At 39.9% G+C, this 14,229-nt stretch overlaps 1 protein-coding gene and 1 long non-coding RNA gene across 11 annotated transcripts in view; one reads left to right on the top strand and one right to left on the bottom strand.

Moving 5' to 3' along the window:
* Positions 1 to 13,450, top strand: part of NFIL3 (nuclear factor, interleukin 3 regulated) — a 74,453-nt gene extending 61,003 nt beyond the window's left edge. For 6 of the 10 annotated variants that reach the window (XM_047423425.1, XM_017014743.2, NM_001290000.2 and 3 more), the window contains exon 2: positions 11,589 to 13,450. In XM_047423425.1, coding sequence (XP_047279381.1) covers positions 11,761 to 13,149 — 1,389 coding nt within the window. In that variant the 5' untranslated portion in view covers positions 11,589 to 11,760 and the 3' untranslated portion in view covers positions 13,150 to 13,450. Of the gene's footprint in view, positions 1 to 66; positions 496 to 3,139; positions 6,930 to 11,314; positions 11,493 to 11,588 lie in introns of those variants that run through there. The other 4 variants (XM_017014744.2, XM_047423423.1, XM_047423424.1 and 1 more) reach the window with 4 other exon arrangements.
* Positions 436 to 873, bottom strand: LOC124902209 (uncharacterized). The gene is made up of 2 exons (XR_007061661.1): positions 791 to 873; positions 436 to 476 (listed from the first exon to the last, which is right to left on the bottom strand). It is a non-coding gene; the product is annotated as an uncharacterized LOC124902209 (long non-coding RNA).
* Positions 13,451 to 14,229: the final 779 nt, after the last annotated feature.

Genomic DNA, 14,229 nt, shown 5'->3' with positions numbered 1-14,229 from the left:
ATGTCACTATAACAGTTTTTTTTTTTTCCTTAAGGATATTTTAAACAGGAAAGTAGACAACCGGGTAAGCATGGAGTTTGCTCATGCTGCCGAATGTGTGTCTTTTGCCCTAAATGAAACGCACGTTCTTCTAAATTTAGCCCTATCACATTTTAACAATTGTGGCCTCGCAGTGCTATTTCTGGTGTTTTCTCCAGGGCTGTGTGCAAATACAAGTTCAAGGCCATTTGCTGTAGTTTTAACTCCACGCCTTCGGAGACCTTTGATAAGATTGTATTTTTAGGAAGGCATTTCGCAGCGCCCGGTGATTTGCTGGATGCTGGCTCCCATTTATGTTTTTAAAGGACACTTTAGGAAACTGCTGTTCTCTGAGAACAGCAGGGAATGGCCAAGTGTCATCTTCTGTTCTTGGCTTTTGTAAATAACAACAGTAAGTGAGGTCAGAAGTATTTATTTACCCCCAGACCAGATATGACCTATGGGAAACAGATATAGGTTAGTAGATTGTTTTTTTGTCTGGATACCCTGGTTTTACTTATGTGAAGATGTGTGAATATGTAATTTACCCAAATATTAAATTTCTTCCTGGACTGTTACATAGTGATTATGTGTGAATATATGTATATGATGGGATGTATATATAACGTAACATTTAAATTAAGTGCAGGGTTTTTTTTTGTGGGAGGTGGGGGGTGGACGTCTCTGGAACAGAGTATATTACCCCAAATAATTGCAGTCGCTTTCCAAGAAGCTAGTTGCTCTAGGCCCCCAGCTTCAGACCCCGACCTACTTTGCGAGCTCGGGTGGGAGTCCCAGGCCTGTAGGGGCCGCGTGGCGCCACCTTCCGATCGCGATCTCCAATGGCGAGTCCGTGCGGCCCCCAGTGCGCCGCTCCCTCCTGCGGGCCGGTGGGGTCTGCGAGAATCCGGGGCTGGGGGCGGGTCTGGTAGTGGCGGGCGGGGACCTCGGGTCGGGACCGAGAAGCGCCTCCGAACGGCAGTTATACTGGGGCTGCTCAGTGGCCTGAGCTCCTCCCTGCCCCCTCCCCACATTCCTTTGTTCTGGCGCGGGGGGTCCTCGCGGCGCCGAGGCCCCGCTGCGCCGCCCACCCGGAGGGAGGAGGGTCTCTGGGAGGCGCCGCGTGGGGGCGCGGCCCGTGGAGCCCGGGCGCTAGGGACCGGCCGGGGCCGGCGTACGGGTGCGCTCTGGGTTCGCCCGGGCCGCGGGAGCCAGGGAGCCAGGGAGCCAGGGACCCCGGCTCCCGCACGGGGCAGACAGGGGCAGCGCGGGCGACCCGGAGCGCCTGCGTCTCCGCGGCCCTCCTTCCAACAGGGCAAATCCAGGGGCCTGACTCCGCGCCTGTTCTGCGGTGAGGTTCAGAAACCTGCAGACACCTTTGTTCCAAGAGTCTTCATTGTATTTCGGAACCAAGCGCGTCTCCATTCTTGAAGTGAAAAAGACCTTAAGAAAAACCTCCAAACGTCCACCGGCCACAGAAATTGGGGGTGGAGGCGCTCCAGTATTGATAGTGATTAAAAGGAAGGCCTCAGCTTGACTTTGGCCAGTTGAGTTGAGCCGATTTTTTTTAACCTTTAATTTATGTGGTCAAAGGCTAGAGGAGAGAGAACACTGATCTCCAGAGTTCAAAATAAAATCTAAACGCCCACATAGACGCTGCTGTCCTACTGTAAAACTACAGTACTTTCATCCTCGCATAAAGACTTCCAAGATTGTACCCATGCAGTAATTCATGGAGACATCACAGATGTTCTCCTGAAGCATATCAACGCAATCTGCTCTTTGTTGAAAACTGACCGAAAACTTGCTTTCTTTGGCATCATACCCTACACCGCTATCCCTAATCAGTTTCCCTCCTGTTACAGGCAGTAGTTAGAGAACAGGTTTCGGTGAGGTACAGATCCTAAGAGCGCAGGCCCTGGGCTCACAAGAACCCTGGGTCCCAGGCCCCAGCTTGTTATCTTCCAACACTGTCCTGATTTCCATCACTCTCCAGGGTAAACTGAGGGAATAAAACCTGTTGACTTAGTTGGTTGTGAGGAGTTCAATAAATGTTTCCTGTGTTATTGATCAGGAACCAGAATCTGTGTGTGTGTGTGTGTGTGTGTGTGTGTGTGTGTGTGTATTTACCTTCATTTTTCTCTTTGTAAATCTCTTCGCAGTAACAGTAAGGATTCGTGTTGGAATTAAGTCTGTAAGATCTTTCTTGAGATACTTTTTTTGTTCTAATAATATATATATTTTTTAATTTGCCATCGTGTTCAATGTTAATTTCAGTTTGAGGGGAATTCCTGACAGGATTGCAGAACCTCAAACTTCCCAAGTCATTGGGTTAATGTTTTGGGGAGCTGCTTGAAGGAATAGAGAGATGAGTCGATTATAGTAGCAGGAATGACGTGACAATTGCCATATTAATAGCTCAGCTTTTTCCAATTCCCTTACACATTCTGTGACTCATTTTCTGTAGCTTGGATGATTTCTCTATCTAAAACTTTGTGGTCTGAGATCAGCAGTGGATGGTGAGACCCCACAGATAAGCTCTCTTGTAGGGGGTATATGTAGCCTGAAAACTAAGGCCAGTCCTGTGAAACTGTTGATATTTGACCCTTTTGACCAAATTTTCATTTGGTTTACCCTTACACTTGCGACATAGGTCAGGGCTTCAGTAAGAGTCACGAGCAGCAAAAACAGCCTGGAACTGATAGGCATCGTTGCCTTTTGATACTGATCATTCTTCAGAAAAGAGATAAAGAGTTAGTATTTACTAAACACATACTCTGCATGTGCCAGGCACAGTGTTGAGGGGCTCTGTTATCATCCACATTTCATAGATGAGGAAATGGAAACTCAGAGAAATGAATTTGCAGCCCAGGTCGCAGAGCCTGAAAACCAGATGGGGAAATTTGCACCTCAACAAAGTGTATTCTCACACTCACTGTAGTTTTTGAAACAATTTCCTTTTCTGGGTTAAAGACTTATTTTTGTGCAGTGCAGTTATAACATCACTGTGATGCAACAGCCTGAAAATTAAAACCCTTTGTGAGAGGCCTTTCGGACGTTGAGCAATGTGCCTGACTCACCAGCTGAGTGGATTTTTCTAGTTGACCTTGCCTTGGTCATTAGAGTCAATTTCGAGATGTAAATGCGATTGCAGCATGGAATGGAAAAGGTGCAGTCATATTGCCTGGGCTTTATTTTTACCCAGGTTAAACTCATATACTTCATGATTTCCATTGTAATCCAGATGCCATTGATGCTGTTAAAGTTGTTTATTTTTAATTTGTATTGAGGAATGAGAGCACACTTGGGATTCAATTCAAAATATAACAGAAACAATGTAATTGAAATTGCCTTTAATATTCATTTCTTGTTTTTGTAAGGTATGCCTGTATTTCACGGGGTTTAATACATTGTTTGATATCCTGTTATTTTTCTAAATTATATTTGAGTTGATTTCTATCCAGGTTGGACTTGTATGAGAATGTTGAAAGACGTTGACCTTTGATCACAGACATTACAATATGAATTTTTCAGTTTCAAAATGAATTTTTATTACTACTACCCCAGTTATCTTTCACATTTCTTTGTAAGTAACTTTACTGTAGTTAAAAAAAAAAAAAACACCCAAAACTGTTTCTCATATGGCTTTAATAATAGAGCATAAACTTGTTTTTATGATAAGAAAGTTTACTAGAGATTTGCTAGATGCCATTTGTTATTAATCTGTGCTTTGAGGACTCAGTTTCATAGGACTCAGAATGATGTTTATAAGCCTTTTAGTTATCAGAACATGATGTCTTTTATTAATTAGCTTTTTAGGGGTCTTAAACTGTAATTAACTGGCCTTCAAATAAACACTACAAATAAGCATTTGAAAATCCACTCTATTCATAAGGTAGAAAATGACATTTATAATCATCCACTGACTGGAAAAGTGGAAAAAGAAATTAAAAAGCCAAGTGAAGCAAGTTGGGATGATTCTACATTATCATTAGAAACTTTCAAGAATTTTCTCAGCCTGACTGTCCCCTTAGCCCACCATTTTTGCCATCATTACACCATGTTGCATGTATTACTTATTCATTGGGGAATTTTCTACAACTGGGTTACTTTGTGATTGTTGGTGTCCTTTTAAGATTTCAGATTAGTTGCTACACTGATCAGTTATCTTTTCAGAAGTTTCAAGATATTAATAGTCCCCACATTTAAGTTTCTATAGATTTTTAAAAAATTATTACTGTTCTGTTTTTCCCCCATGTTACTACCCATCTTTAGTGAGAGCTGTTCTTATTTCTCAAGCTGTGCAGTTAATTGGTCGTGCTAGCGTGTATGTGCTTACTCTGTGCAGGCTTCAGAATAATTTAATTGTGTATTAAGTTTCAAACACTGACGACCTCTTAAAGAAGAATGTTAAGTTATACTATTTCATATTTCAATTACTTAAATTACATCAGTGATGTAATAAAATGCAATGTTGTCATCGTATTTATTAAATTTAAATTTAATTTTCAGCTAGTCCTTTGTCGAACTTGAAATATTTTCATTTATCATAAACTGGATCAGGCTTTGACACATTTATTTACAGAGGCACCCAAATAGAAAAAGTAGGTCAATTTGTTGCTATGATAGAATAGATTCTGGCAGTGTGCGAGAGTGTGTGTGTATGTGTGTGTGTGCGTCTTGCCTGTCTTGATCAAGTGCACATTTCTCTCTAACTTTGGGGTAAGCTGCTTCTTGGGGACAGAATGGCCCTTAGAGAGGTTTAACATAGTTTTCTCAGCTTAAAAATCCTTCTCTTTTTCAACGGGATTAGAAAATTCTCTTGCAACTTCGGTGTTTTCTGACTGAGTTTTTTCACTCCCCATTTCCTCTGGGTTGTACATGTATAGTGAATTCTTTTCTTATTTCATCTCTGCTTTTAAATACTAGATTGTTTTCTCATCCATGAAAAGAAGTAAAGCATTTCATTGACGCAGATACTGTGAATTTTACCCACAGGAAGAAAATGTAGGGTTAACATATTGCTAGTATTCATACTTTAAAAGTATAAAGAGATGTGAATTGATTAATTGATTTGATTTTTTCATGAAAATGACATTTATCTAAAAAATAAGCATCTGCTGTCTTACTGGAGAGGTGGCTTACAGTTTAACATAACTTAGGTTTACCTTGAAGACATTTTTTTTTCCTTTACTGTTATCTGTATTATATAACAGGGAGAAAACAATACATTCAGAGAGTAGAGGGAAAATAAGATAATTCTATAATGTTTCCAAATCATTGGGCATATCAAATAGTATTTCATCTTCTATTGACAGAATTTTAAAAACAAAATATATATTGCAATTTGCAATAAAACTTACCCTTTATAGATAATTAATAACAAAATGTTCTCAGAGTAGATTTTAATGTTTAGACTATTAGTAAGATTTCAGATGATTGAAACAAAGCATGTTTATTCTTTTCTTTTGTGGAGCTTGGATTGTTAAACATTAGTTCTGGGAGAGACCAGGGAAGATAAAGGTCTATCATAAACATAACTAATGAGATAACTCCTCAAGGATAAATTTGGTCTAGAATTATTGTTATGAGGTTATATTCTTTTATAGAATTTTCTAAATCAAATCTTGTACTTAATTAAAAACAATAGGGTAATCTGACTTAAACTTTAAAAATCTGGGCTTATGAAATATAATTCTTGCTATATAATTCTTGCTTAGAGAAGTAGTGTGATGGACTATACAAAAGCATTAATTAGTGATGGCACCTTCGGAGTATGTATGGAAAAATATGTCAACTGGTAGGTAATAATACCTGCTCTTAAATTTCTCTTTTTTATTTGTGTTTTCAAGGAGAGTCATATCATCTAATGTGTGTAATGAAGTTAATCGTGCTGAATACACTAACATCATAGAATTGGCATGTAGTGTCAATTATTCACCAAAAAAGAAACTTAAGCAATGACTAATATACCACAACATTAGATGTTGATTTGAAAAGATGATGCATAGATGAAGTAATTGTTAAATTAATCATAAGGGAAAATATTGAGGCTTGAAATAAATTTGTTAGGTTAGCATAAATCCTGAGGCTTTTTGAAGGCATCGTAAACTACTTTTGCATTTGCTTTAAGTTCATTGTTGAGGGGCATAAGGAGAGCTCAGAGCCCATCTGTGCCCAACTGCTGTGTGGTCTTGGGAAGGTCAGCCTGTCTTCTAGCTGATTAATCTGCAAAATGAGAGGGTCAGAGAGACACTGTCCCCCGCCTCATGTTGAAAACAGATTACACTCTTGGATTTGTTAAAAAAAAAAAAAAAAGAAGAAGATCATAGGTGACAATGTCCACAGCTATCATATTTCTTTTTCTCTATTTAACATAATTAGAATAGCCAGGAGGTTAAAATTTTAGTAAAGATATGAAAATTAATAAAATGTTTTCTCAATTCATAAATAGTGCCAGATCTGAAACATCTAAGGAGGATGGAGAAAAGTTCTAGATAGTATCTTTGCTGGCTAAAGAAGTTAAGACAGCATCTAAGAGAAGTTAAGGAGCCAGGCGTGACGGCTCACGCCTGTAATCCCAGCACTTTGGGAGGCTGTGGCAGGCGGATCACCTGAGATCGGGAGTTCAAGACCAGCCTGACCAACATGGAGAAACCCCGTCTCTACTAAAAATACAAAATTAGTTGGGCATGGTGGCGCATGCCTGTAATCCCAGCTACTTGGGAGGCTGAGGCAGGAGAATCGCTTGAACCCAGGAGGTGGAAGTTGTGGTGAGCCAAGATCGCGCCATTGCACTCCAGCCTGGGCAACAAGAGCAAAACTCCTTCTCAAAAAGAAAAAAAAAAAAAAAGAAGAAGTAGTTAAGTTAGCATAGTGCCTTACTGCGCCCAAAGTAACTTAGTAAAAGGGTATGTATTACTCAGAAATGAAAGTGACACAAAAGAGAACTGTGTGTAAATGAGACTGCATTGCAAAGATGCAGAACCACCTGTGAAAGTGTAGGAGAGAGTAAAGGAACTGGGCCTGAATGTACGCTCTGCCATTTAGCTATGTGACACTGGGCAAGTCACTTGACTTCTCTGAGCCTTAGTTTTCTTATCTGAAAATTGTCACCAAAAGTGAATGAAAGAAAGCAGGTCAGGCTCCCAGTGCCCATTCTGTGGTAAGTGTTCAATAAATGGCACCAATTATGATTGTTTTTGTTATTATCTCCATGACAAGAAGAAAGCCTGCACCCCAGGCCCATGTTTGTGCAACTCTGCACTCACACCTGGTTCCCCTCTGCTCACCTGTTTGTCTCCCACCCACCCACGACTGAGCGCCTGGTCTCGGGAGTTTGGTTTTTCTCTCCCTCTTTATGTGCCCCTAGTCTCCCCTTGTGCCCAGTACACAGTAGGTGCTCCATATGTGTTGAATAAACAAATTAATGAATAAGAGAATCTCTCTGTTAATAAGTAAAATATCTTCTTTACAATTCACATAACATTAAAAAGAAAGCATCAAAAAAGTTTTCTGTTTACAAAACTCTCTTATATAAGGTATATGGGTGACTGTCAATGAAATGTTGAGCACCTAATATCTTCAGGTTTTTGCTAGAAGACAAGTATATTTTAATTTCCGCCCTGAAGTAATTCGCAGTGTAGTTGGGCACAAAAGACAAACACGTGGAAACACACACAGTGTATATGATTGTGCCTGTCTCCGTATCATCCCATAATGCTGATAAACTCTTTTCAACACTGCAAGATTATTTGATAGATAATATTACAGAAAATATCCTAAGATAGTGTGGTGATTTGCCATTGAGTTGTAGAGACCATGAATGTAATACATACAGATGAGAGCAGAATCACAGATTTATAGTGACATGCCATGAAATTCAAATAGGAAGAAGATGATTAAAAACAAATGAGGTGGCCTGGCGAGGTGGCTCACGCCTGTAATCCCAGCACTTTGGGAGGCCAAGGTAGGCAGATCACCTGAGGTCGGGAGTTCAAGACCAGCCTGAACTCCCCATGGAGAAACCCCATGGAGTTTCCCCATCTCTACTAAACCCCATCTCTACTAACATGGAGAAACCCCATCTCTACTAAAAATACAAAAGTAGCTGGGCTTAGTGGCACATGCCTGTAATCCCAGCTACTTGGGAGGCTGAGGCAGGAGAATTGCTTGGACCCTGTAGGCAGAGGTTGCGGTGAGCCAAGATCGTACCATTGCACTCCAGCCTGGGCAACAAGAGTGAAACTCTGTCTCAAAAACAAAAAAGCAAATGAAGTTTTCTGTAGGTTAATGTACCAACAAAGTTGTAGAGATGATAAAGTAGTCATATAGTACTTAGACACCTAGAAGACATGAGTTAAGGAAATTTTAAGACAAATGGGGCTATTTCAGTTAAATAGAAATAGGACCTATTGTGAAGGCTCCTTCCCAATTGGGCCCCAACCTTGAAAAGGTCCTAGAAGTTTAGGAAGAGTAACTAAGGCAGACAGAATGGCGGGGCATTTCAAAAGCATTACTGTAAATCTAGTAAGTGAGGCAAAATAAAGGAATCTGATTTTTTTTTTTAAGAAGGAACAAATAAGATAACACATGGAAGAGAAAGATTCTCAGGTGGAGAAAATAACCAGAATAATAGTCTGCAAGGGATCATATGATGTTTAAAAACTAAAAGTGGAAAAAAGTAGTGGCCAAGAGTATAGTGGAGATTTGAAAGGTGCCTTGGGAAAGGTCAGTGCAATTGTCTTCTTTAACTGGGATATCTTCCTCTTTACTTCTCCACTCATTTTACTTTAGCAGGAGGACTTTGCTGAATGGCAGAGTGCAGACTTCAACAGAGGAAAGAATCCATTCAATATGTAAAGGAAACTGGGTTTTCATATTAGAGGACAAAACCTAAATGCAAATTAGAGGAAATAGTATTGTTGGCCGGGCGTGGTGGCTCATGCCTGTAATCCCAGCACTTTGGGAGTCCGAGGCAGGCAAATCACCTGAGATCAGGAGTTCAAGACCAGCCTGACCAACATGGTAAAATCCCGTCTCTACTAAAAATACAAAAAAATTAGCTGGGCGTGGTGGCGCGTAACTGTAACCCCAGCTACTCAGGAGGCTGAGGCAGGAGAGTCGCTTGAGCCTGGGAAGCAGAGGCTGCAGTGCACCAAGATTGCACCACTGCACTCTAGCCTGGGCAGCAGAGCGAGACTCTTATCAAAAAAAAAAAAGGAAATAATATTGTTTAAATGATAAATAGGAAGATTCCTTCTCTGCAACATCACTGCTGACTGTGACACACTCCTTGCCTTCATTTCCTATTAAAGTTTCATTACCAAAAAACAAACAGAAACTTGATATTAATAATCACAAATTTCTCTGAGTTACGACTAGCTGTTCCCTTAACTATGTTGGCTCAGTTTAATGGGCAAAAACCTGGCATGAAACATTATTCTTTATGATCCTGAAATTATTACATAATTCCTTTCATTCCCTGGAAAAGACAAAAGAAGCTGGCAGGCTTTTCCAATTGATAAAAGTAAACTTCATTTTATTAGTCATTATGAAACTAGGCGTAAGAAGGAGATAGTGGCATCATGTAAGAACATTACATCTTTTTTTTTTTTTTTTTTTGAGACGAAGTCTCGCTCTTGTCCCCCAGGCTGGAGTGCAATGGCGCGATCTTGGCTCACTGCAACCTCCGCCTCCTGGGTTCCTGGGTTCAAGCGATTCTCCTGCCTCAGCCTCCCGAGTAGCTGGGATTACAGGCGCCTGTCACCACACCCGACTAATTTTTGTATTTTTAGTAGAGACGGGGTTTCACCATGTTAGCCAGGCTGGTCTCGAACTCCTGACCTCAGGTGATCCGCCCACCTCGGCCTCCCAAAGTGCTGGGATTACAGGCATGAGCCACCACACCTGGCTCATTACATCTTTTTAGTAGGGTAGAATAAAGTGCCACTGTGTGCAGATCGTGCTGATGGAACTGTTGTACCATGTCTATTTAACGAAAAATATTACTGACTGGAACATTAGGCAGAGAATCAGTGTCTAGAAACACAGTTAAATTCAAAAGCCCCCATGCAATGATTGCTACTGGAACATAACATGGATTTTATTATCTCGAGCTAAGGCAACTGTCAGGCCAAATTTGTAGTGTAAGTATTTCATCAATGGAAGAGGAAACTAATGAATGATTCTATTTTTGAGTTGTTATATTTTACTTGAAACTAATTCATATAAATGAAAGAAATTTTTTTCTGTAACTATATTCTCTTGGTTTAAAAGAATTTCATTTCAAGAATGCACTATACTTTTAAAAACCCCCTTTGAATAGTAAGTGTTTTTTTGTTTTGTGTGGGGTTTTTTTTTTTTTTTTTTTTTTTTTGACAGAGTCTTGCTCTGTCACCAGGCTGGAGTGCAGTGGCGTGATCTCAGCTCACTGCAATCTCTGCCTCCCAGGTTCAAGCAATTCTCCTGCCTCAGCCTCCCGAGTAGCTGGGATTACAGGCACACACCACCACACCCAGCTAATTTTTGTATTTTTTAGTAGAGATGGGGTTTCACCATGTTGGCCAGGATGGTCTCGATCTCCTGACCTTGTGATCTGCCCGCTTCGGCCTACCAAAGTGCTGGGATTACAAGTGTGAGCCACCGTGCCCCGCCTAGTAACTGTTTTTTAGTTCAAAGCTACTATGTAACTGAAACCTGAAATCTATTTTGACAGAATTTTCAAGATCACAAAAAGCATTTTGGATACTTCAATCTTGAATGTTTGATAGAACAAATTCAAAGGAATCAGAAAAAAAAATTCTAATCTCTTAAACTCAGATGCTTGTAAAGAGATGGCTTGATGGAGAAGAATCCTTTTCATTTAGTTGCAGTGAGTCACCTGGTGGAATTTGCTGGGATATAAGCCTACCAGGCAGTCAAGGATGTGATGGGCAGGTTTATGTCCACGTTAAGGTGTAGATTAAAACCAACAGCTCCGTTGTTAATGTGGCTTTTACTTTAGTTTTTGTAGAAGAAGTTTGTCTCCATTTGTATTTTATTCCATATAGGAGTGCAGAACTTTTTTTTTACTCACGTTAAAGTTTACTTGGTAAAGTCCCTTTTAAGAGGTGAGCATATCTGCTTGGCAGTGATGTAAATATTAGGTAACATTATTTAGAAGCACCACGGTATGCATGTACTGTTTAGAAACTTACCAACCAGAGGCTATCTGTCATTTCCTTCCTGTAATTGCCCACACCCAACTATTTCTCCATTTCGCCTCATTAAATACAGCCTTCCTCTACTTCTCTCTGGGCAGAGGTTATTTTATTTTTCCCTCACTTTCCTGGATCACATATTCTCTTACTGATAGGCCTCATTAGGGATTTGTCCTTTACAGCTTTATAGTTTAGGTATTTGGGAACTTATTTCCTTTTTGAAAATGCTAACTTGTTGAAAGAAAGAACTGTGGCCATGCCTCATCTGTGCTTGTATGCCCTAAATGCTTAGCATATTTCCTTGTACATAATTTGTAATAAACATTTATCCAGTGAATAACTGGTTTTTTTTTTATTCATGTATTGCAGATAACGAAGGAGGCCCAACTTCATTCAATAAGGAGCCTGACGGATTTATCCCAGACGGTAGAACAAAAGGAAGAATATTGATGGATTTTAAACCAGAGTTTTTAAAGAGCTTGAGAATACGGGGAAATTAATTTGTTCTCCTACACACATAGATAGGGTAAGGTTGTTTCTGATGCAGCTGAGAAAAATGCAGACCGTCAAAAAGGAGCAGGCGTCTCTTGATGCCAGTAGCAATGTGGACAAGATGATGGTCCTTAATTCTGCTTTAACGGAAGTGTCAGAAGACTCCACAACAGGTGAGGAGCTGCTTCTCAGTGAAGGAAGTGTGGGGAAGAACAAATCTTCTGCATGTCGGAGGAAACGGGAATTCATTCCTGATGAAAAGAAAGATGCTATGTATTGGGAAAAAAGGCGGAAAAATAATGAAGCTGCCAAAAGATCTCGTGAGAAGCGTCGACTGAATGACCTGGTTTTAGAGAACAAACTAATTGCACTGGGAGAAGAAAACGCCACTTTAAAAGCTGAGCTGCTTTCACTAAAATTAAAGTTTGGTTTAATTAGCTCCACAGCATATGCTCAAGAGATTCAGAAACTCAGTAATTCTACAGCTGTGTACTTTCAAGATTACCAGACTTCCAAATCCAATGTGAGTTCATTTGTGGACGAGCACGAACCCTCGATGGTGTCAAGTAGTTGTATTTCTGTCATTAAACACTCTCCACAAAGCTCGCTGTCCGATGTTTCAGAAGTGTCCTCAGTAGAACACACGCAGGAGAGCTCTGTGCAGGGAAGCTGCAGAAGTCCTGAAAACAAGTTCCAGATTATCAAGCAAGAGCCGATGGAATTAGAGAGCTACACAAGGGAGCCAAGAGATGACCGAGGCTCTTACACAGCGTCCATCTATCAAAACTATATGGGGAATTCTTTCTCTGGGTACTCACACTCTCCCCCACTACTGCAAGTCAACCGATCCTCCAGCAACTCCCCGAGAACGTCGGAAACTGATGATGGTGTGGTAGGAAAGTCATCTGATGGAGAAGACGAGCAACAGGTCCCCAAGGGCCCCATCCATTCTCCAGTTGAACTCAAGCATGTGCATGCAACTGTGGTTAAAGTTCCAGAAGTGAATTCCTCTGCCTTGCCACACAAGCTCCGGATCAAAGCCAAAGCCATGCAGATCAAAGTAGAAGCCTTTGATAATGAATTTGAGGCCACGCAAAAACTTTCCTCACCTATTGACATGACATCTAAAAGACATTTCGAACTCGAAAAGCATAGTGCCCCAAGTATGGTACATTCTTCTCTTACTCCTTTCTCAGTGCAAGTGACTAACATTCAAGATTGGTCTCTCAAATCGGAGCACTGGCATCAAAAAGAACTGAGTGGCAAAACTCAGAATAGTTTCAAAACTGGAGTTGTTGAAATGAAAGACAGTGGCTACAAAGTTTCTGACCCAGAGAACTTGTATTTGAAGCAGGGGATAGCAAACTTATCTGCAGAGGTTGTCTCACTCAAGAGACTTATAGCCACACAACCAATCTCTGCTTCAGACTCTGGGTAAATTACTACTGAGTAAGAGCTGGGCATTTAGAAAGATGTCATTTGCAATAGAGCAGTCCATTTTGTATTATGCTGAATTTTCACTGGACCTGTGATGTCATTTCACTGTGATGTGCACATGTTGTCTGTTTGGTGTCTTTTTGTGCACAGATTATGATGAAGATTAGATTGTGTTATCACTCTGCCTGTGTATAGTCAGATAGTCCATGCGAAGGCTGTATATATTGAACATTATTTTTGTTGTTCTATTATAAAGTGTGTAAGTTACCAGTTTCAATAAAGGATTGGTGACAAACACAGAACTCCTGCTCCATTGCATTTGATTTGATGGAGAAGAAAAGTCAATTTAAGTTATAAAAATAAATATTAAGATATTTTACATTTTATATGAGAGAGTTTTCTCCCCTGAATAAGAGAAAACTGAAGTGCTAAGTTCAGCAAATAATTTGTTTTTCCAGGCTTCTAAAGAAAGAAAAATAACAGTGAATTTTCTTGCATTTGAGACTAATTCACTAAATTACTTTATATTATATATTTTTCTGTAAGATTATGTTTTCTCTATAATTTTCTTAAGTATAAAAATACAAGTTGTTTGGTAACAGCCTCTTCTTAGTTATCTACCCTTTAAGTATGACACATGGATGTGGATAGTTGAGTCACTGATGCATTTTATTAAAGTCTGTTTTAAAAGAGCAGATAAAGACTGAGGATGAGGCATTTTTATGTTATTATAAGTCTTAACAGTTCTAGAGTATAACAATCTAGGGAACTAAGCTAAACACTGTTTAGTTTCTAAAATTTCAAAGAACACGTCAATTACCACATGCCAAAATATATAATCTGAGTATATATAATGACATTTTAGAAGATTTATTAATGATGAATAGGAAGAATGGCTCTATATCTTCAGATGTTTGCTTAAAAATTATAGAAGTCCAAAAAAAAAAAACTTCCTAAGTAAATTGAGGATAAGACCATTATTGGTTATTTGTCCAAGACGCTCAGTTGCCATAATTATAGAAGTAAGCGTGGTCAAACGTGGACCAAGTGCTTCTGTTGCAATGCCTGTGACTGGCATCTG

This window comes from Homo sapiens, chromosome 9 (assembly GCF_000001405.40).
Source record: "Homo sapiens chromosome 9, GRCh38.p14 Primary Assembly".
In the NCBI taxonomy this organism is placed as follows: domain Eukaryota; kingdom Metazoa; phylum Chordata; class Mammalia; order Primates; family Hominidae; genus Homo; species Homo sapiens.
The sequence above is the reverse complement of the archived record's forward strand: the minus strand, read 5'-3'. Positions and strand labels throughout refer to the sequence as shown.